Source organism: Homo sapiens, chromosome 16 (genome assembly GCF_000001405.40).
Source record: "Homo sapiens chromosome 16, GRCh38.p14 Primary Assembly".
NCBI classification, from domain to species: Eukaryota; Metazoa; Chordata; class Mammalia; order Primates; family Hominidae; genus Homo; species Homo sapiens.
The window spans coordinates 27,370,460-27,392,805 of NC_000016.10; the positions used below are offsets into that span (position 1 = coordinate 27,370,460).

General features: G+C 46.6%; 4 annotated features.

Annotated features, from left to right (window-relative positions):
- Window positions 3,724–3,903: an enhancer, noted in NCBI's record as "active region_10618". NCBI's record gives its function as "activates an Ori minimal core promoter by ATAC-STARR-seq in GM12878 lymphoblastoid cells {active_cell/tissue: GM12878}" and the evidence as "EXISTENCE:reporter gene assay evidence [ECO:0000049][PMID:35858748]".
- Window positions 4,589–4,883: an enhancer, noted in NCBI's record as "tiled region #7417; HepG2 Activating DNase unmatched - State 4:PromP, and K562 Activating DNase unmatched - State 12:CtcfO". NCBI's record gives its function as "activates a minimal TATA promoter and a strong SV40 promoter by Sharpr-MPRA in HepG2 and K562 cells {active_cell/tissue: HepG2 | K562}" and the evidence as "EXISTENCE:reporter gene assay evidence [ECO:0000049][PMID:27701403]".
- Window positions 4,654–4,773: an enhancer, noted in NCBI's record as "active region_10619". NCBI's record gives its function as "activates an Ori minimal core promoter by ATAC-STARR-seq in GM12878 lymphoblastoid cells {active_cell/tissue: GM12878}" and the evidence as "EXISTENCE:reporter gene assay evidence [ECO:0000049][PMID:35858748]".
- Window positions 11,937–12,126: a silencer, noted in NCBI's record as "silent region_7304". NCBI's record gives its function as "represses an Ori minimal core promoter by ATAC-STARR-seq in GM12878 lymphoblastoid cells {active_cell/tissue: GM12878}" and the evidence as "EXISTENCE:reporter gene assay evidence [ECO:0000049][PMID:35858748]".

Here is a 22,346-nt window from a genome sequence, read left to right on the forward strand (position 1 = left end):
GGAGTGGAAGAAGAAGAAGGCCTGCCTGGGGCTTTGATTACATCACCAAGTGATCAAACCAACCTTAAATTCTTAAATAAACTGTAAGTGTGCTTTTCTTTAAACCACTGTGAGTTTTCTTTTGCAGTCATAAAGCAACCTTAAAAATTGTAGTAGGTACAATAATGAACCCCCCAAGATGTCCATGTCCCAATCCCTGGAACCTGTGAACATGTTACATTACATGGCAAGGGGGGGATTAAGGTTACAGATGGAAGCAGGGTTGCTAATCAACTGAACCTGAGATGTAGAGGGAGATTATCCTTAATTATCCAGACAGGCCCAATATAATCCCAAGGATCTTCATAAGTGAGAGATGCAGGAGAAGCCAAGTCAGAGAGAGATTTCAAAATATTATGCTGCTGGCTTTGAAGATGGAGGGAAGGGCCATGGGCTAAGGAATGCAGGTGACCACTTGAAACTGGAAAAGTCAAGGAACAGACTTCCCTAGAGTTTCTGGAATGAACACAGCCTTGTTAACACCCTGATTTTGAGCTCAGTGAGACCAGTTTCAGACTTCTGACCTCTGGAATTGCAAGATCATAAATTTCAGTTTTAGGCCACTAAACTTGTGGAAATTTGTCAGAGAAGCAATGGGAAATGAACGTGCAGGTGCATTCACGCATCCAACTTTAGGCTCTGGACTCTTCCTCAAGCTCCTTCCCCAATCCCCATCCTCTCCCTCTTTATTGGCACTCAATCTTCACTTCCAGAGGATCCTGCCAAATTCCTGCCCATTCCATATCGGCATCCACCCTTTCTTGTTAGAGTGGACGTAGGGCAGGCTGGCTCCACAGCTGTGCGCCAGGCAGCAGCCCGTACCCCCCTGCTCGGAGGACCCCTACTCTTCAGTGTCATGCTCTGAAGTCCCAGTTTTGAAATTCTTGGCCAGGCGCAGTGGCCCACACCTGTAATCCCAGCACTTTGGGAGGCCAAGGTGGGCGGATCACTCGAAGTCAAGAGTTTGAGACCAGCCTGGCCAATATGGTGAAACCCCGTCTCTACTAAAAATACAAAAATTAGCCAGGCATGGTGGTGCATGCCTGTAATCCCAGCTACTCAGGGAGGCTGAGGCAGGAGAATCACTTGAACCCGGGAGGTGGAGGTTGCAGTGAGCCAAGACTGTGCCACTGCACTCCAGCCTGAGCAACAGAGCGAGACTTTGTTTCAAAAAAAAATAAAAAAAGAAAAAGAAATTCTTAAAAATTTTATCTCTGAAGTTGTGTTTTATAGGGAGGTTTAATGGGACCAAGGAGCACCCATTGAGGGCTTGGAGCCTCAGCTCACACAGGGTCCCACCTCCTGCCTGCTTCCCTGGGACATCTGCCACCTGCCTGCTTCCCTGGTACAGGCTCCTGGCCACCTGCTGCTCTGTCCCCAGCACACCAGGCCCTACTCATCCTCCCCATTCCACCACCATCCATGACCATTGCTGCCTTCTGCCCTTGAAGGAGGCCTGGGCACAGGTGCAAAGGATCATCAAGGTCAGTAGCTCACCTCACGGGACCTTGGGGTGGAGCATGGTGACAGCCATTCCTACCCCAGAGGTATCTGCTGGGCAGCCAGAAGCCACAACTCAGCCCACTTCTAATCCAGGAACCAAGAGTGACCATCTTGATTTCTCAGCCCTTTTGTTTTTTCTTTTTGAGACGGAGTCTCGCTCTTGTCCCCTAGGCTGGAGTGCAGTGGCTCAATCTCGGCTCACTGCAACCTCTGCCTCCCGAGTACAAGCAATTCTCCTGCCTCAGCCTCCCAAGTAGCTGGGATTGCAGGCATGAGCCACCATGCCCAGCTAATTTTTTATTTTTAGTAGAGACGGGGTTTCACCATGTTGGCCAGGCTGGTCTCAAACTGCTGGACTCAAGTGATCCGCCCGCCTTGGCCTCCCAAAGTGCTGGGATTACAAGCGTGAACCACCGCGCCTGGCCAAATTATCAGCCCTTTTTGAATAAGAAGACCTGCATTTTTATTTTGCACAGTGCCCCTCCAATGATGCAGCCATTCCTGATGCGGGGTCATTCCCTCTCTCCCAGGCTGAGCTCTCTTCTCCCTCTGGACCCTAAAACACCATCACTCCCCTGTGTCTTCACCTGCCTCCCTCTGCTGGCCTTTCCTCATTGCCACACATATCTACTCAAGTCTTTCCATCTTCAAACAGCCCAAGCTTCCCTCCACCCCGGCTCCTATTTCTCTCTCGCCTTCTCTCCCCCAGCCACAGTGCTTGTGCTCAAAAGCTGTCTCCTCTCTTGGGCTTCACTTCCTTCCTCTGCACCCACTCCTCTACCCTCTCTGTGCAGAGTCGGCCTGACTCTGCTACTAAACTACTTTCACTGAAGCCAGCTCCACCACCCAAGCCAAGTCTCAGTTTCAATCCCTACTACTCTGTGGCACTAGCATCTCCCTCACTCCTGAAACTCGGCCCCTCTTGGTTCTCTGACACTGGCTGTTTGTTCCTGTCCAGTCTCTTTTTCTTTTTTTCTGAGGCAGAGTCTTGCTCTATCACCCAGGCTGGAGTGCAGTGGCGCAGTCTCAGCTCACTACAACCTCCATCTCCCAGGTTCAAACGATTCTCCTGCCTCAGCCTCCCAAGTAGCTGGGATTACAGGCACCCACCACCACCACACCTGGATAATTTTTTTGTATTTTTAGTAGAGACGGGGTTTCACCATGTTGGCCATGCTGGTCTTGAGCTCTTGATCTTGTGATTCGCCTGCCTCGGTCTCCCAAAGTGCTGGGATTACAGGCATGAGCCACCGCACCTGGCTCCAGTCTCTTTTTCCAAGGTCTTCTCCTCTGCCCTCTCTTACACGTTAGGGGTCCGCAGGGCCCATCTGGGGCCCTCCCCATCTCCTCTCCTCTTTCCACAGAGTTAATTACAACCTTCACTAAATCTGTACTGGAGTCGCATGGATCAGGAACTGTGTGGTCCACAGCCCAGCACTGTGCTTGGCACATAGAGCATACTCAATAAACATTTACTAAGTGAATGAATGAATGAATGAATGATGTCTTCTAAATATATCTCCCCAGCTGAGATCTCTTGCCTGAACTCCAGAGTTATACATTCAACTGCAGTTGGGTATGTCTCAGTTTCCACATCTCCCACCCAAACATTTTGCATGTCCTAGCTAGTAGCCATTCCTATCTCGTGTGACATATGTTATTATATATTGTATATATTATTAAGTCTTTTATTTCTTATTTCTCACCAGGTCTCCCATATCTCCCCCAAAGAAAGTAGACTCATGGTGGGCAGAGATTTCAGTTTGGTTGGCTCATTGCCTTATCCCAGGGCCTAGAACAGTGCCTGGCACATAGTAGGTGCTCAATAAATACTTCTTGGCTGGGCACCATGGCTCACGCCTGTCATCCCAGCACTTTGGGAGGCCAAGGCAGGTGGACTGCTTGAGCCCAGGAGTTTGAGACCAGCCTGGGCAACATGGCAAAACTCCATCTCTACAAAAAATACAAAAAGTAGCCAGGCATGGCGGTGCATAACTGTAGTCTCATCTACTGGGGAGGCTTAGGTGAGAGGATCGCTTGAGCCCAGGAGGTCGAGGTTGGAGTGAGCCACGATCACGCCACTGCACTCCAGCCTGGGCGACAGAGACCCTGTCTCTAAATAAATACACAAAAATAAGTAAATAAATAAATACTTCTTGAACAGATGAATGGATCTCCACAGAGACATCCCCACATCTCAGATTCAGTATATCCAAACGAGCTCTTTCTCATCCTCGCCAAACCTCCTCCTTCTGGTTCCTGGTTTTGATTGCTAAAGCAAGAGAGCGGGTGCTCCTCAATTGACTACCTCCTTCCTCCCTGCAGAACTTCCGGTACTGTGAGTCTGTCCCTGGGACCCTGCTCTCCAGCTCCTCTGTTCAGCCATGTCAGCCTCCCTATTGTAACCCCTGGGTTTATGCCGGTAGTGTCTTTATCAAACACTCCCCCATGCCAGGACCAGGACCATCTTTGTGACTGCGTCCTTCCCTGCTCCCTGGGGTCCCTAAGATGATTTTAGGTGGCATGTGGGCATAGTGAGCTGAGAAAACAATTCCTTTTTCAGTTCTCTTTCTCTTCTCCAGATTAGCCTACCACAGGCTGCAGCATCTAGCTGGAAGTTAATCACTCGGTTTTGGTTTCAATGGGCTTGTTTTTACAGTTCCCTTCTATTTACAGTAAAGGATCCTGATCTTTCATGTGTGATGGTGACAATGTTTCATTTGACAATAAAGTGATTTAAACAAAGCGAGGAGGCCAATATGAAGAAAATGTAATGATGGAGAAAAAATGTAAATACGGCAGAAATGACTTGTGTGCATAGGGATGAGAGTTTGGGCAACACTGGCGTACAGGCCCTGTCCAAACCTCTTTGTACCTGGCCCTGGTTCAAAGTGAGAAGTGAGGCTTCTCATGTCTTCAGACACATGACCTGACCCCTCTAGACACCATCATCTGACTACACGCCACCACCCAGCCACAGTTCCCAGCCCACACCATGCAATTTCAACCTCCAAGCCTTTTCTCATGCCTTTCCCTCTGGCAGGCACGCCCCTCCCTACCACTCTTCCGGACGAACCCGGCTATCCTGCCTGCCCTGTATCTACTCTCCCTTCTTCTGACATCACCACCTGGTGGTCCTTGCCGGGACAGCGTCTTCCCACTCGCAGTTCCAGAGAACTGATCTAACTGCCAGAGAACTGATCTAACTCCTAGCTTTCCAACAGGGCACATGACTCAGGCTTGGCCAATCAGAGCATTCCTTTCCCAATCTGAAGATTGGTTCAGGGACAGGCATATGATTAAAACTGACCAATGAGAGCTTTTCCTGGTAGCATCATTGGAACCATTAGGAAAACATGCCTTCTTTCCTTTGGGCTTTGAAAGCTGGTAGGTGGTAGGTCTTGGCTTCTGAGGTCCCTGCTTTTCTTTGGCCACCAATGAGGCTTCCTCAGCTTGCTTGAGAATGAGACTAAAGCCAATACAAAAGAAAGCAGATCCCAGAGTAGAACCTTCCAACCTGAAGAAATTATTTGAGAACCTTGATCTATCCATGCCTGAAACTATATTCATAAACTTCTTATTTATTTTTAAAATGTATTATTATTATTTTAGACACAAGGTCTTGCTCTGTTGCCCAGGCTGGAGTGCAGTGGCACGATTATGGCTCACTGCAGCCTCAAACTCCTGGGCTTAAACGATCCTCCTGCCTCAGCCTCCTGAGTAGCTGAGACTACAGGCACAAGTGACCACGCCTGGCTAATACTTGTATTTTTTGTAGAAATGGTGTCTCGCTATGTTGCCCAGGCTGAATGTTGCCCAGGCTGATTTCAAACTCCTAGTCTCAAGTGATTCTCCTGCCTCAGTCTCCCAAAGCTCTGGGATTACAGGTGTGAGCCACCATGCCCGGCCTAAACTTTGTTTTTAAACAGGCATTTTTGTCACTTACAACCAGAAAGCTCCCTGTGGTTGAAACATAAGCTTATTTATTTATGTATTTATTTGAGATGGAGTTTCATTCTTGTTGCCTGGGCTGGAGTGCAATGGCACTATCTTGGCTCACTGCAACCTCTGCTTCCCAGGTTCAAGGAATTCTCCTGCCTCAGCTTTCTTAGTAGCTGGGATTACTGGCACCCACCACCACGCTCAGCTAATTTTTGTATTTTTTAGTAGAGATGGCATTTTGCCATGTTGTCCAGGTTGGTCTCAAACTCCTGACCTCAGGTGACCCACTCGCCTTGGCCTCCCAAAGTGCTGGGATTATAGGTGCGAGCCACTGCACCCAGTCATAAGCTTATTTTTTATTGAGATAAAATTTATATGACGTAAAATTCACTATTTCAACCACTTAAAAATATATAACTCAGTGGGTTTCAGTGTATTCACAATGTTGTAGTACACACATCTCCACTATGTAATTCCAGAACATTTCCACCATTGCCTCTTCTCTAAAAAAAAACCAAAATCCTTATCCATATCTGTAGGTCCAAATCGTCCTCCCCTGATTCCCTGGCAACTGCTGTAAAATATCATCTTCTCAGGCCCAGTGGCAGCAGGCCTTTCCCCGTGAGTCCTCCCCTCGATGGGGGGCAGAATTGTTCTCTCCTTTGTCCTTGGGCCTCTTCGATCACTTATTGTAATCGTCATTTATTGCAATTGACTACTTGCGCCTGTAGTCCCAGCTACTCAGGAGGCTGAGGCAGGAGGATCGTTTAAGCCCAGGAGTTTGAGGCTGCAGTGAGTCATAATCGTGCCACTGCACTCCAGCCTGGGCAACAGAGCAAGACCTTGTGTCTAAAATTTAATATAAAAATTATTTTTTATATTAAATCATGGAATATTTCAAACATACAGAAAACCTTGTCTCCTGTATGTCTCCTATCATGCCCCTTGATGACAGGGACACAGATTCATTACTTCTTCTGTGCCCCAATCCTCAGCCTAGAGCCCAGCCCAGATTAAGTGTTCAGTAGAAAAACAAAACAAGGCCAGATGGGGTGGCTCACGCCTGTAATCCCAGCACTTTGGGAGGCCAAGGTGGGCAGATCACAAGGTCAGGAGTTCAAGACCAGCCTGGTTAACATTGTGAAACCCCGTCTCTACTAAAGACACAAAAAATTAGCTGGGCGTGGTGGCATGCCCCTGTAATCCCAGCTACACAGGAGGCTGAGGGAGGAGAATCGCTTGAACCCGGGAGGCGGAGGTTGCAGTTAGCCGAGATTGTGCCATTGCACTCCAGCCTGGGCAACAGGGCAAGACTCTGTCTCAAAAAAAAAAAAAAAAAAGGAAAAACAAAACAAAAATGTGAGCAGAGGTTCACTGCAAACATCCCAGTCCTAGGCCAGACCAAGACATAAAGATTCTGACAAATCTCTGTTGACTGGCTGACCGACAGCCTCGGTCAATGTGTCCATGATGGACAATACTCTTGTCTTTGTGTGTGAAGGGCTGGCAGGGAGCAGGGGAGGGACTGAACCCATCACTTCCCACACTCTGACATTTCATTAAACCCAGAATTAAATTTACAGTTGTTTCCCATATCTGGGTACCCCCTAAAATTTCCCCAAGCTGCACCTACTTCAGATGCTTCAAGGTAGCATCGTGGAGAGGAAGGGCAGACCAGTGATCTTGGGCATATTGACTTATTCATAACTTCCATCTGTCCCAGTGGTCCCATCTGTACAAAGGAGCTAAGAATATTAAATACCCCATAGGATCGTCTGAGGATTAAATGAGTGAATACTTGTAAAGCACCTAGGATGGTGCTGGTTCATTTACAAAATCTGCTCAACAGGATGCTTTTGCTGGGGGAACCCAGTGGTGCATGAGATCACTAAGCTGTTGCACATCCTATTTCCTCTGCTTGCAAATAACTCTTTTCTACCCCTCACTTGCTGCTTTACTCCCTTCCATTTCAGCTTAGATACTACCTCCTCCAGGAAGTCCTCTAGCTCCCCAGGCATTGGTTAATGCCTCTCTTCTGGGCTCCTTAACACCAGTACTTCCCCATCAGCACAGGCAGCAATGGTCTCAGCACCTTCAGGTGCACAGTACCTGGCACAGGGTAAGTGCTGAGTGAATGAAAGAACAGGTCGGAATATGCATCAAAAGATGAACAAGAGGTTTGGGTCTTGTCCCTGGCACTTCTAACTGAGACTCCTTACTCTGTTCCAGGCACCAAAGCTCTGGCTCTGTCCTCCTGGTGTCTGTGGGAAGAAACAGTGTGTTGAGTCCAGCTTGCACCAGCTCCTGTGGTCATCTTTGCCTCCGCAGCCCCTGACATCACCTTGGTAGCCTGAAATTGGCCACAATGAGACTATCTACACCATGCAAAGCAGCAAACACCGTGTTTCAGGATTTTGCAGCAAACACACATATTGGGTTTTTGGTTTGTTTCCTGTTGTTTTTGTTGGCTTACCAGCACACCACTGGTTGTGATTTTAGGGGCCATAAAAAATGGTTGTTTTGAGCTGGGTACAGTGGCTCACTCCTGTAATTCCAGCACTTTGGGAGGCCGAGGCAGGCAGATCACAAAGTCGGGAGATCGTGACCATCCTGGCTAACACGGTGAAACCCCGTCTCTACTAAAAATACAAAAAAATTAGCCGGGCATGGTGGCGGGTGCCTGTAGTCCCAGCTACTCAGGAGGCTGAGGCAAGAGAATGGAGTGAACCTGGGAGGCGGAGCTTGCAGTGAGCCGAGATCGCGCCCCTGCACTCCAGCCTGGGCGACAGAGCAAGACTCCGTCTCAATTAAAAAAAAAAAAAAAAGGTTGTTTTGGTCTCACCAGGGCACACTCTTTTGATGCCAGGTTTTGGACAAGCAGTTCCCTCTTCCTGGCCACTGTGTCCCTTGCTGGGTCAATCACAGCTCCCTCATGGCCCCTGAGCTTTTATGTAGGACAAGGCCTGTGCTTATTCATCCCCCCTCTCTCCCCAGCATGTGAGCAGCAGCTGTCTGTAAATGTTTGTTGATTGACTGACAGACAGTTCTTGGTAAATATTTTTGTGAGAGTCTGACCTTTCCCCCATGTGAATGCGGGGAAACCACGGCAACCTGAACTTTCAGTAAAGCAGAGCCTCTTTGAGGAAGGGAGTCTTTGCAGAAACTCACCACAGCTGCCTGGAAGCCGAGTCATTGCAGCCCATCCTCCGCCTGTGTGTGCAGCGTCTTGGAAGATCCAAATGTCTCCGTCCCACAGGTCCCTAAGGTGCAAGATGAGGGTAGGGGGAGGAGGTTGGTGACTTAGGGACAGGGGCTCTTGATAGGGCGGGAGGTCCTGAGGAGAATGGGGGACTGCTGAGGGACCTGCACACATACAAGCACGTGGAGAGATGTACACATGTCTGCAAATTGCATGTGCATTTTGTCGCACAGGCCATGGTCTCATCTCAGGGAAGTTGCTGGAGGCTTGAGGTCCTTGGGCCACGAGGGGGGCTGAAAATAATGCTGATCCCCGTCCCCTACACCCATCCACTCCTGTCAAGGGCCCAGGTTGTGCCATGTGGCTTCTGCAGGGAGGGAGGTTTATATTCATATGTGTGCATGTAAGCATGGGGGCTGTGGTGTTTACGGACCCCTAATGCATGAGGCAGATTCAGCTCTGCAACTTATGCATAATAAGCACTCCATAACTATGAGCTTTCTTTTTTTTTTTTTTTTTGAGATGGAGTCTTGCTGTGTCACCCAGGCTTGAGTGCAGTGGCACGATCTTGGCTCACTGCAACATCCTCTGCCTCCCGGGCTTAGATGATTCTCCCGCCTCAGCCTCCCAAGTAGTTGAGATTACAGCATGCGCCACCTTGCCCAGCTAATTTTTGTATTTTTAGTAGAGACGTGGCTTCACTATGTTGGCCAGGCTGGTCTTGAACTCCTGAACTCAGGTGATGTGCCTGCCTCGGCCTCTAAAAGTGTTGGGATTACAGGCATGAGCCACTGCACTTTCTATCTGATTTGCTCACGCATGCCTCCCCCTCCCCTGGATTACACACTCTGAGAGAGTAGAAACTCGGTTTTCTTCACTTTTATATTCCCAGAACCGGCACAGTGCCTGGCACATAGTAGGTGCTCAAGAAATGTTTATATGCAAGTGTGCACACATATATATGTCTGTGCCTATGTGACAATGTGTGTGTACTTGCACATGTGTGAACTTGTGAGTGGCGGTTCTGCATGCTTTTCACGCAGGCATATTAACAGGGACATGCACACCTGTGTGTAAATGTGCGTGACTCGGGTGAATTCTCGCTGCCTATTGACGATGTATGATGAATTTCATGCTACAGGAGAATCTATGTCTTTGTGATTGGGTTGTATGTGTCCATGAGTGCATGAGCAAGAGCGGGATTTCATATGCTGATTTGCACATATATGTAAGTGAGATATGTTGATATGTACAGAAGGGGACTTGTGTGGGCATTTGTGAAAAAGATGAGAGTGTCATCGTTAACAGCTCAAGCTCTGCAGCCGAACTGTCCAGGTTTGAATCCCAGGTTCATGTCTTCTTATCTGTGTGACAATGAACAAGTTACTTAAATTCCCTGTGGCTTGGTTTCCCCATCTGTGATATGCGCTAGTAATAATGCCTGCCTTCTCTTGTTGGGGGGTGATATGGTTTGGCTCTGTGTCCCCACCCAAATCTCATCTTGTAGCTCCCATAATTCCCATGTGTTGTGGGAGGGACCCAGTGGGAGATAATTGAATCATGGGGACAGGTCTTTCCTGTGCTGTTCTCATGATAGTGAATAAGTCTCATGACATCTGATGGCTTTAAAAACGGGAGTTTGCCTGCACAAGCTCTCTGCCTGCCTCCATTTACATAAGATGTAACTTGCTCCTCCTTGCCTTTGGCCATGATTATGAGGCCTCCCCAGCCATATTGAACTGTTAAGTCTAATTAAACCTTTCTTTTGTAAATTGCCCAGTCTCAGGTATGTCTTTACCAGCAGCGTGAAAACAGACTAATACAGGAATACAGGGAGACAACAGAAGGCAGACATTATTATTATTACTAGCTCTTATCACAGACGGACAGAGATCAGGATTATTTTCAGCCCCACATGTGGCCCAAGGACCCTAAGCCTCCAGCAACAACACAGACTTGGAGTTGTTTAGTGGAATAAATAAGATACTAGCATCTGGCACCGAGTAAGTACTCAACACCTGCTACTGCTGCTGTTTTCATTTGTGTGTTGTGGGCACCTGTGGTGTGCACATCTGGGTCCTCCAGCATGTCCCCCATCCCAGCCCTAGAGAGACAAGGACAGTCTCTGATGGGTGCCAAGATTACCATGTGGGTTCCAAGAAGATAACCAAGTCATGGTCTCAGATGACTGGAGGGTGGGGAAGGGGTCTCTACTCAGCATTGCCCCTTCTTCTTGGGGGACCTCACTGCCCACTCATCAAAGAGGACATAGTCACCTGACTCCATCCTCCCCACCTGGAGAGGCCAGACTTTTCCAGGCCAGCTCACTGTTTAGGGGAGGCAGAAATGAGAGAATGGGTGGGAAGCTCTCTCCAAGGTAGAAGGTGGTCCCAGCATGTGCCATGGTGAATCCATTTGGAGGTGGTTCTAGGTGTGCCCATCAGAGGTCTGTTGGGCTGAGTTCTTTCACAAATGCCCATAAAACTGAAAGAGCCAGGTGCCTTTCAGGGGCCTAAAAAGAGCTGCAGTACTCAGGAAGAAAATATAGTGCTTCTAAAGGCGCCCAAGGAGATTGGCACCCACAAGAGTGATTAAGGAGAATGCTCCAGGTCCTTTGAGGTGGTGTCATTCAGAGCATTCATTCATCCACTGATTCACTCCAATCACGTTTCTTGAGTCCCAGCACTGTCCTAGGCCCTGGGGGATACAAGACTGGCCCCTACCTGCATGGGATTGGGATCAAGTGCATAAGCAACAACAATGCAGTGTGTTCATAACAAGACTCGGAAGCTTGGGCTCAGAGGAGGGACAATTGACCCAGACTTGGGCAATCAGGGAAAGCTTCCTGGAGGAGATGACATCTAAGTTAAAATCTGAAGGACTGGAACTAGTTTTCCAACAGATGGCAACAGAAAGAATGCACCAGGTAGAGGACACGGCCCATGTGGGAGCCAGGAGGAAACAACCCATTCCGGCTGAAGCACATCATGCAAGAAGGGAGGGTGAGGTGAGAGGCTAATTCAGCCGGAGGGAAAGGCAGAGCTGTGTGAGCCACATGTGAGATTTGAGACTGAAGAGGCCTTGCCATTTGTAGGCCAACCTGACTCAGGGGGGCAGGGGTGATTCTTTTTCCCAGAGTGAATCCTAAGTGGGGCTGAAGCAGGGCTGACTTTTTAGTGAGCACCTACTGTGTGCAAGGCACTGCCCTAAAGGGACTGAGGAAGGTTCTGCAGTGAGCAGAACAGAGTCCCTGCTCTCATGAAGTGACACCTAGTGAGGACAGAGAGCCAAAAGATGTGCAGGTGAGCCCACAGTGTGACGTCAGAGGGCTTGAGTGCTATGCAGAACAGACAGGCAGGGGAGGGGCCAGGGGAAATTAGCGGGTGGAGAGCTGTTTAGGAGGTGCCAGGAAAGACCTCACCAAGGAGGTCTGAATAGAGGCTTGAGTGAACTAGGGGAATGAGCCACGCAGATATCTGGAGGGACAGGGAGAAAGAGATTGTTCTAGGAGGAGGGAGCGGGCTGTGCGAAGGCCCTGGGAAGGGAATGGCGTGAAGGGGGTGCAGCCAGGAGGCCAGAGTCAGAAAACTGGGGGAGAGGAAAGAGACAAATTCAGAGGCAATGGGGATCAGCCACGGAGGGCCTTACTGGCCACACACAGGACCTAGGGTTTGTTTGACCAACCATAGGAAGGCTTTGGATGTGGAAGTGACTTGATCAGATGATTGTCTCAAAATGATCATTCTGGCTGCAGTTAGAAGGGGATGTTTTTGGTAGGGGAGGCCCTAATTTTCCAATGTCCAGAGCAGGCGGCGACCACAGCTGTGGATTCTGGGCATGTTTTGAAAGTGGAACCAACAGGAATTCCCAACGGGTGGGATTGGGGTGGTGAGAGAAAGCAAGGAAGCAAGAAAGATCATGCTATTGTCACCATGGGGACCCCGCCCCACACGCCGTTCAGCTCTTTAGCCTCGCTCCAGGTACAGGGGCAATGATTCCCACCTAACCTCTGCTGTTTGTGGCAGCCTGCTCTTCCAGGCACAGCATCCTCCTAATTATCCTGGGGGCAGGGGTAAGTATTCTCACCACAATTGGCAGGTAGGGGTTGTAGAGGCTCAGAGAGAGGAAGGATCTTGCCTGGGGTCATGCAGCCCTAGCGGATGAGTTTGGCACTGCCGACATCTTCTGTAGGACTCTGGGTCCAGTGCTCCTCCCCCTACAACATGAAATCAGAGGTTCTCAACCTGGGGGCAATTTTGCCCTCCAGGGGACACCTTTGGTGGTCACAACTGGGGGAAAGGCATCTAGTGGGAAGAGGCCAGGGATGCTGGTCACCATCCCACCATGCACAGGATGGCCCCCACCGTAAATGATCCAGCCCAAATGTCAACACTATCAAGGTGGAGAAACCCTGCCAAATATTCTATTGAAGGGCTGGAGATGCCGTAGCTCGGCAGCCTCCCCCCAGCCCTCCAGGGCCTTCTCAGACACCACTCAATGGGTCTGGGTGCCCCTCCCTGAAAGGGAAGCCAGCCTGTGCCAAGGTCGCACTGGACAGCCAGCAGCTGTGGTGGCAGTTTCCCCAGCGACAGAGGCCGGTTCCTGGAAAACTAAACTTGGTATCCTCTGTGGCTTATCTTCTCCTTTCCAATCAGACCTAGGCACACGGGCCACATACCCTCATCTGCAGACAGTCTCCCAGGACCCTACAAGTTCCCAGCCCAGTTGGATAGGGACCAAAGGTAGCTTGCTCCCATCACTCCCCTCCTGAGATCCTCTCATGGCTCTGGCCGTCGATGGGGTGGGGTTCTGCTCCCGCTGCTCTACAGGGAAACTTCTCCAGGCTCTGGCACTGTCTTCGCCAGCAGGCTATGGCCTCGACACTTCCTCCTTGCTCTGGTGTCCCCCTCTGCCCTCCCCACCCACACCAGGGCCCTCATCATTCCCCGAACAGGCGGGGAAGTCACGCCCTCATGTCTTTGGCTTACCAGAGAACCGACTCCAGGCTTGGTTGGCCCTCTGCTGTGCTTCCTTCCTCTTTCAGCCAATTCTGATCTTTATAATTTTCCTTTCCTTTCTTTTGGGTTTATTTCACTGTCATTTTCTAACTTCTCGAGAGAGACGTTTGGAACATTAATTTTTAGCTTTTCTTCTTTGCTAATCTGTGACTGTTAAGGCTACAAATTTCCCTCTGAGTACTTTTTTAGCTGCAACCCACAAGTTTACATGTGGTTGTTTTTTTAAAACCATTCAGTTCAAAATGTTTTCTAATTTTCCATTGCAATTTTTCTCATTGTCTCTTGGGTGATTTAGAAGCGTATTTCTTGGTTTCCTGTCCACATTTTCAGAACGTTTTGAAATGCACTCTCCTATATTTTCAACACGCTGAACTGTTCTTCATCCTTCCAAGGCCAGAACAAGTGACCCCTCCTCCATGCAGCCTTCCCTGACACTCCCTCCACACTGTGGCCAGTATCATCAGGGGTCGCTCGTGTCTGCTGTCATAGCACTTTGTACCAACCACCATTATAGCACTTTAAGGTCACACAGTAATGTATCTGTCAAGATTCTTTCAGTTTCAAGTGAAAGAAACTTACTTAATCCAAACTGGCTGAAGCCAAGAGGGAATTTATTGTCCTATTTAACTAAAATGTCTTGGCTTTCAGGCATAGCTGGATCAAGGGATCCTGATTCCTGATGGCCCAGTTCATCTCTTGAGTCACTTCTTCCAGGTCGACCCCATCCTGAGGCAGTTTCTCCCGTGTGGCCACAGAGACATACAGCAGCTGCAGGGAACACATGAATACGTTCTCCCGGCTCCAAGTGCGGAGTCTTTGCCCTGATCAATCCCTCTAGAGTCTCGTGGGATCTGTTAGACTCTGACTGGATCTGTTAATGTGGCTTAGGGAATATAGTGGATTGGTTTAGGCTAGAGTCATGCACGCTCCTAGGGAAAGGAACTGAGAATGGAGGGGGCATGATATCTCAGAAACAGCCGGGATACAGTGACCAGGAGAAGAGTAAATCAGGACTAGAAAACAAAACAAAACAAAACAAAAACAAAAACAAAAACAAAGACAATATGCTACTGCTGTTAATAATAATCATACTAGTCTAGTAAACAGCAACAATTATAAGTACCTTTATTTTTTAGATGGACTTTTGCTCTTATCACCCAGGCTGGAGTGTAGTGGCACGATTTCAGATCACTGCAACCTCCACCTCCCGGGTTCAAGCAATTGTCCTGCCTCAGCCTCCCCAGGAGCTGGGAATACAGGCATGTGCCACCACGCCCGGCTAATTTTTGTATTTTTAGTACAGATGGGGTTTCACCATGTTGGCCAGGATGGTCTCAAATTCCTGATCTTAGGTCTCGGCCTAAGCAATCATTTGTCTCTAGACTTCTCATTCCATAAGGGAATTAGCTCTTAAGTGTTTAAGAGCTTAAGGCCTCGGCCTTCCAAAGTGCTGGGATTACAGGCGTGAGCCACCATGCCCGGCAGTACCTCTTATACTTAGTACATGCCACTAACTCAAGTGCTTTGCTTTTAGACCTGTGTATCCGCCTTCCCATTGAATTTAAAACCTTTGACAGTGAAAAGAAGATCTGTTTTGTTAACTGTGAAAATTTTGGAGGTGGCAGGGGAGGGAGAAGATGGGCAATTCCTCCTCTGCCCTAAGACTGTAATCAGCTCACCCCACCGCACCCCCACCCCTGAACTTGGAGGCTGGGGCTCAGCCCCAGGGTCCCCTAAGAGAAAGCTTGCAGAGGTGCCCAATCAGCTCAGTGGTTGCTGTAACCCTCTGTCTTAGCTGCTCAGGATGCTATAACACAATGGATGGGTGGTTTGCACAACAGACGTTTATTTCTCACAGTTCTGGAGGCTGGAAAGTCCATGATCAACAAGTTGGTCCAGGAATAACATTAGGGATCAGAATGCAAAGGAAATTCCTTCGCGCATTTGTGCCAGTCTCTGGTAGGCACATTTTCAGTGCACCACCTGAATTCTCTGTGCAGCATCTGGAAAACTTTGGTAAACTCCCATCTCCCCAGCTCTGCAGTCAGAAAAGAAAGGCAGCTGAATCCATGCCTGATGAAGGCTCTCTTCCTGGCTGGCAGACAGCTGCCTTCTTGCTGTGAGGGAGATTGAGGGCAAACTCCCTGGTGTCTCTTCTTATAAGGGCACTAACATTATCAGATCAGGGTCCCACCCTTCTGAGCTCATTTCACCTTAATTACTTCCTTAGCGGCCTCATCTCCAAATACAGCCACATTGTGGGTTAAGCCTTCAGCATATGAATTTGGCAGAGGTTGAAAGCAGCACATTCGGTCCATAATTATCTCCCTCCATGGTAAGCCCTCCTATGTCTTTCTAAGAATCAGAGACACACAGACACTCAGCATGAAAGGAGACTTCATTGCCCTTGGTCCAACCACACACTCAGTTAATCCAACCATACCCCCACAGTGAGGAGTTGTTTACATACCAGGGACAGGGAGCTCACTGTCTTCTCCAGTTCATCAACTCTGACTATGCTGGTCTGGACCTGCTCATGACCCCCACCCTGAGTCTTCTCTTTCCAAATACTTCTGCTGTCTCATGGTTTTTTTTACTGTCTCCACACCAGCTGCTCTACCTTCTCGGTTGCCTGTTCTGAATATACATCAATTTGCCAATGTTCTTTAAAAATGAAGGTCCAGAACTGGACGTAGACTGAAGGTGTGGCCAGTGCAGTGAGAATAGCCTCCCTTGTTCTGGACACCATACCTCTATTAATGCAACCCTAGGGTGCTTCAGGTTCCCCTTGGCTGTGACACACTCTTGACTTTGGGAAAATCTCGCAAGCATTTTCCATGTGACATGTTGGTTCTGTGGTTCTAATCTTCATATACATGTAATTGAATATCTGGCTTGAAGTAAAGGACGTCACATGCTTCAGGGGGACCATGGCTCACATCTCTATAGATTTTTTTATACCTTCCCTTCTCTGCACCCTTTTCCCACCATACTGATGTTTTGTGATGTCCTTTTTTTTTTCTCTTCAAAATGGAAATAGCTTGGTTATTTTTCCCAGATTCCAGAAGTAAGATATCATTTTAAAAATCAGATAATACAGAATAACATAAAAAATTAAAAATAAAAATTCCCACCACCCAGAAATGGGCCTATTAACCCTTGAGGCTAGACGGCCCAGGTTCAAATCTTGACCCCGCCACTTACTGGCTATGTGCCTGTGGACCAGTTGCTTAGTCTCCTGCACCTGTTTTCTTATGTCTAAAATGGGGATATTAAAAGGTAGTTTGGGGCTGGGCACAGCAGCTCACGCTTGTAATCCCAACACTTTAGGAGGCTGAGGCAGGAGGACCACTTGAACCCAGGAGTTTGAGACCAGCCCTGGCAATATAATGAGACTTCATTCCTACAAAAAGCTTTTTAAAACTTAACCAGGCGCGGTGGTGCACACCTGTGGTCCCAGCTACTCGGGAGAGTGAAGAGGGAGAATGGCTTGAGTTTGAGAGGTTTAAGCTGCAGTGATCACACCATGATCACACCATTGCATTCCAGTTTGGGCGACAGAGTGAGACCCTGTCTCAAAAATACAAAATTAAAATAAAAGGTGGTTTTGATAGCTTATTGCAGATGGCAAGTCCCTTACAACTGTAAACAATTTTGTATTATTGTTATTAATAATTGTGTTGGTTACAGTTCTGTTTCTCCGGAGAACACTGACTAATACAGATACATCTGTTTTAGTCAGCTCAGGCTGCCATAGCAAAATACCATAGACTGTGTGGCTTAGGCAACAGTTTATTTTCCCACACTTCTGGAGGCTGGTAGTCTAAGTCAAGGTGGTTGATGGTTGTCTTCTGAACAACCTTTCTAGCTTGCAGACAGCCACCTTCTTGTTATGTCCTCACATGGCATAGCTACAGAGTATTCTGTTTCACAGATGTTTTATAAATTATTCATCCAACCCTCTCTTCATGATTTATTTCAACCTAGTCAGTACTTTATACACACAGCATACCTGGTTATTTCTTGCTTCACCAGTTTGGGTACACAGATAAGCCTCTTCATCCTTTTGATAGTCACTCAATCCCCTTGTATGGTTAGAAGTTCCAACTTCTAATAGAGACCAACCACAGTGGCTTAAACACTTAAGAGCTAATTCCTTTATGGAACGAGAAGTCTAGAGACAAATGATTGCTGACATTTGTTCATGACCCATGATATCAGGGCCAAGTTCTCTGTGATTATCCTATTCTTTTTCTTTAGTTCTAAATGGCTGCTTGAGCTCCAGCCATCACGTGTACACTTTAGGCAGGAGAAAGGAGGAAGGGGAATACTGGAAGGGCCACAGAGTGCTTCCAGAAGGTCCATGTGAACACTCCCATCACTAGCTGCAAGGGAAACTGGAAAGTGGTCTATTAGCTGGGTCTGTTGCCATCCAGAATTACACTATGGTCCTGATATGAGAAAGAAGGACAAGATGGAAGCTGGGACACAATTAATTGTCCCTATCATGGTCCCTGTAGCAGATGTTGAAGCCTTACCCTTAACTTCTCAGCTTTATACACCAAAGCATTTGTACTGCAAACACCTGCAACTCCCTGCGTGAGGGTTCATTTTTGGCAACAGGTGCATGCAATCGGCAAGCTGGAAGTGTCAGAGAGTCGTGGCCCTGGAAGCAGCCCTCAACTAACAACAAATGAAGTCCTGGAAAAGAAATATCCCAGATTTCTTGTTTCTCCTTTGGGACAAGTTGGAGACATGTTCTATATTGTCTCCCAGAGAGGTACCCAGTGGGATTCAGCTCCAGTTGCCAACAGCAGTGGCCTTCTCCTTAAAGCGCCCTTTACTGGCTTCCTCGCTTTGCCTGCCCCACTTCTCCATTCCCCTGTGTTTCCTAGGATTATTTCCCAAATCTATGACTTATCCTTAAATCCTTGTCTTAGAATTTGCCTCTGGGGGAACCCAACCAAGACACAACTCATGTGCCAAACAGCAAGTGATGTGATCAATGGCTAGGGCAGTCTGATCAGCCCATTAGAGATCCTAATTTTGGAAAGAAATTTACAAAATTCTTAGTCTTATCATCTGCTTAAATGATACCCCTATTAGTCCAGAGCCTAATACAAACCAAGATGAGCTTTTAAGGCAGGATAAACATATTCTTTCTGTGTTACTCATAACTGAGGGCACTATTTATTAGTTTTTTCTTTATATTCAGCCATCGCTCTTAAAATAAACCTGCTGTCTCAGGGTAACTGAGTGAAAAGGGGGTTCCCAGTTTCAGCCACATGTTGCGCACAATCCAGCCCTCTAGACGTCTCCTTCCTTTGTGGTTTGCTCCCCATGAAACATCCCCTGCCCTTTCTTGGCTGTGGCTCTCAGCAGACCATCTGGTCCATTACAGGAACCCCACAATGTTGGACCTCAGAAAGGAATGCATCAGTTAATACCACTGAACTTACACTTAAAATTGGATAAGATGGTACATCGTATTAGTCTGTTTTCACGCTGCTGATAAAGACATACCCAAGACTGGGTAATTTATAAAGAAAAAGAGGTTTAATGGACTCACAGTTTGATGTGGCTGGGGAGGCCTCACAATCATGGTGAAAGGCAGAAAGCAAAGGGCACATCTTACATGGCGGCAGACAAAAGACAATGAGAACCAAGTGAAAGGGGTTTCTCCTTATAAAACCATCAGATCTCGTGAGACTCATTCACTACCACAAGAACAGTATAGGGAAAACCACCCCCATGATTCAGTTATCTCCCACAGGCTCCCTCCCACAACACGTGGGAACTATGGGAGCTACAATCCCAGATGAGATTTGGGTGGGGACACAGCCAAACCATATCATACATGTCATGTGATGTGTATTTATTACAATAAAAAATTAATTTAAAAAAATGAATGGATGAGGAAGCGGTTGTCTGAGAAGAATTTTCAAAGATCTAAATAAATGGAGAGAGTGCCTATATCCAGGATTGAAAGTCTCCAAGTTTTTAAGGTGGTAGATTTCCTCAAACTGATCTATTGATTCAAGACAATCCTTGTCAAAATTCCAGTAGGAGTTTTTGCAGAAATTAGCAAGCTGAAACTTATATGGAATTTAATATTTATAATGGAAATGCAAAGGACTCAGAATGACCAAAACAATTCTGAAAAAGCAGAACAAATTTGGAAGACTTCTACTTCCTGATTTCAAAACTTACTACAAAGCTACAGCAATCAAGGCAGTAAGGTGCTAGTAAATGGATAGACATATAAAGCAATGAATCAGAATACAGGGTCCAGAAATTAACCCATATATTTATAGTCAATTATCAAAATAGGTGTCAGGGCAATTCAAAAGGGAGAGGGCAATCTTTTCTAAATATTGTGCTGAAACATTTAGATATTTATATGAAAAAAGATAAATTTAGATCATTACCTCACAGCATTCACAAAATTAAGTCAAAATCATAATTTTAAAAAGGTAAGGCTGGGCTCAATGGCTCACTTTGGGAGGTCAAGGCAGATGGATCACTTGAGCCCGGAGTTCAAGACCAGCCTGAGCAACATGGAGAAACCCCATATCTACCAAAAATACAAAAATTGGGCGGACATGGTGGTATGCACCTATAGTCCCAGCTACTCAGGAGGCTGAGGTAGGAGAATCGCTTGAACCCAAGAGGCCAAGGTTGCAGTGACCTGAGATTGCAGTGAGCCACTGGACTCCAGTCTGGGCAACAGAGCAAAACCCTGTCTCAGAAAATAAACAAATAATAAAAAATAAAAATGCAAGAGCTAAAACTATTAAACTTTTAGAAGAAAATATGAGAGGAGATTTTTGCTACTTTGGTATAGGTGAAGATTTCTTAGATATGGCACCCAAAGTCCAATCCACAAAAGAAAAAAATTGATAAATTGGGTTTCAATAAAATTTAAAAGGGTTATGCTTCAAAAGAAAAAAAACACCATTAAGTACATTATTTAAAAATGGCAGAGTAAGGAACTCCAAGGATCAGTTCCTCCACTAAAGCAAACATTAAGCTGGAAGAAAGTGTCAAAAGAAACTTTTTTGGAACCTGAAATCTAATCAAAACCCTTTAGCAACCAGAAAAGGCTGCTAATTCTTGGTAAGAAAATACTGTAGCATTTTTGCTTACTTGCCTACCATCTCACATTCATCAGCTTAGTCGTGGCTATGAGTACAGTAGCCTGCATTCTTGGCATGGCTTGCTGGTACCAGAAAGAACAACACAAGCCTTGGTCTCAAAGAATTGTGTTTCTACATTTTGATCTGTTTGGCATCTCCCTAAAGGATCCACTCAGGTGCTTGCCTTTGTTTTGCCCTCCCACTTCCCCTGAACTCTAGGCTGGAGCAGCTTCCCAGGCAATGTCTGTTGACAAACTTTAAAGACACACACTACCCATGTGGGGCAAAGGATGACAGACAAAGCAAAAAGCAGAGACCGACCAAAAAGCTGGAGAAGAAAAAGACTAAGGAGGAATGTATATGGGGGAATAAGGGCTTTGAAAAGCTTCCGTGTATACCAGGGAATCTAGAATATAACACATATGCCCAGGGCTGAAGTCATGCACAGAAATGATATGAGATGATCCTAGGCTTGCACCTCTGGCTAATTGGGCTCTGCACAAGCAGAGGTGAAGGCTAAGACAGAATTGTAGTCTGCCTGGCTAAGTGTAAAGGAGTATCCCAGCTCAGAGCCAATTTACAAAGACTAGGGGAGTATCTTTTATTTTGTTTTTCTTTTTGGCTGCAGGTATATAAGGAAACCTCTTACAGATCACTGACCAACTGCTGAGATAACAGAATGGAGATTTCAGTGAACATACACAAAAAGGGATATAGTCTTTGCAAAAATAGTTTGGAAAAGTCACTAAGTAAATGAATGGCTGAAGCTCACAGCAAATGACAAAAGCAAGCCTTGTGGACAGGGGAAGGGAGAATGTGATTTCTAGAATTATCACATTGTAACATTCAAAATGCCAAGTTTCCAACAAAAACCTATAACGTATACAAAGAAACAGGAACACCCAGCCCATTCACGGGGGAAAAATGGATAGAAAATGTCCCTAAAAAAGTCCAGACATTGGAGCTGCTAGACAAAGACATTAAATCAATTGTCTTAAATATGCTCAAAAAGCTAAAGGAAACCATGAGTGAAGAACTAAGTTAAACCAGAACTACGTGTGAACAAGTAGATAATATCAATAAGAGCTAGACATTATTTAAAATAACCAAATAGAAATTTTGGACCTGAAAAATATAATAGCCAAAATGAAAAATTTATTAGAGAGCTCCAACACCAGATTTGAGTAGGCAGAAGAAAGAATCAATAAGCTTGAAGCTAGGTAAATTGAAATAATCCAGTCTGAGGAGCATAAAGTAAAAAGGAATAAAAATAAACAGAGCCTGAGAGACCTGTGAGACAACAGAGCGAGACTCCATCTCAAAAAAAAAAAAAAGGTATAAACATATGCATTATGTGAATCCCAGAAGGAGGAGAAAGAAAGGACCAGAAAGAATATTTGAATAAAGGCCAAACATTTCCAAAATTTGATGAAAGGTATGAGTATATACATCCAAGAAGCTCAGTGAACTCCAACTAGGATAAAACCAAAGGAATCTACACCAAGACAC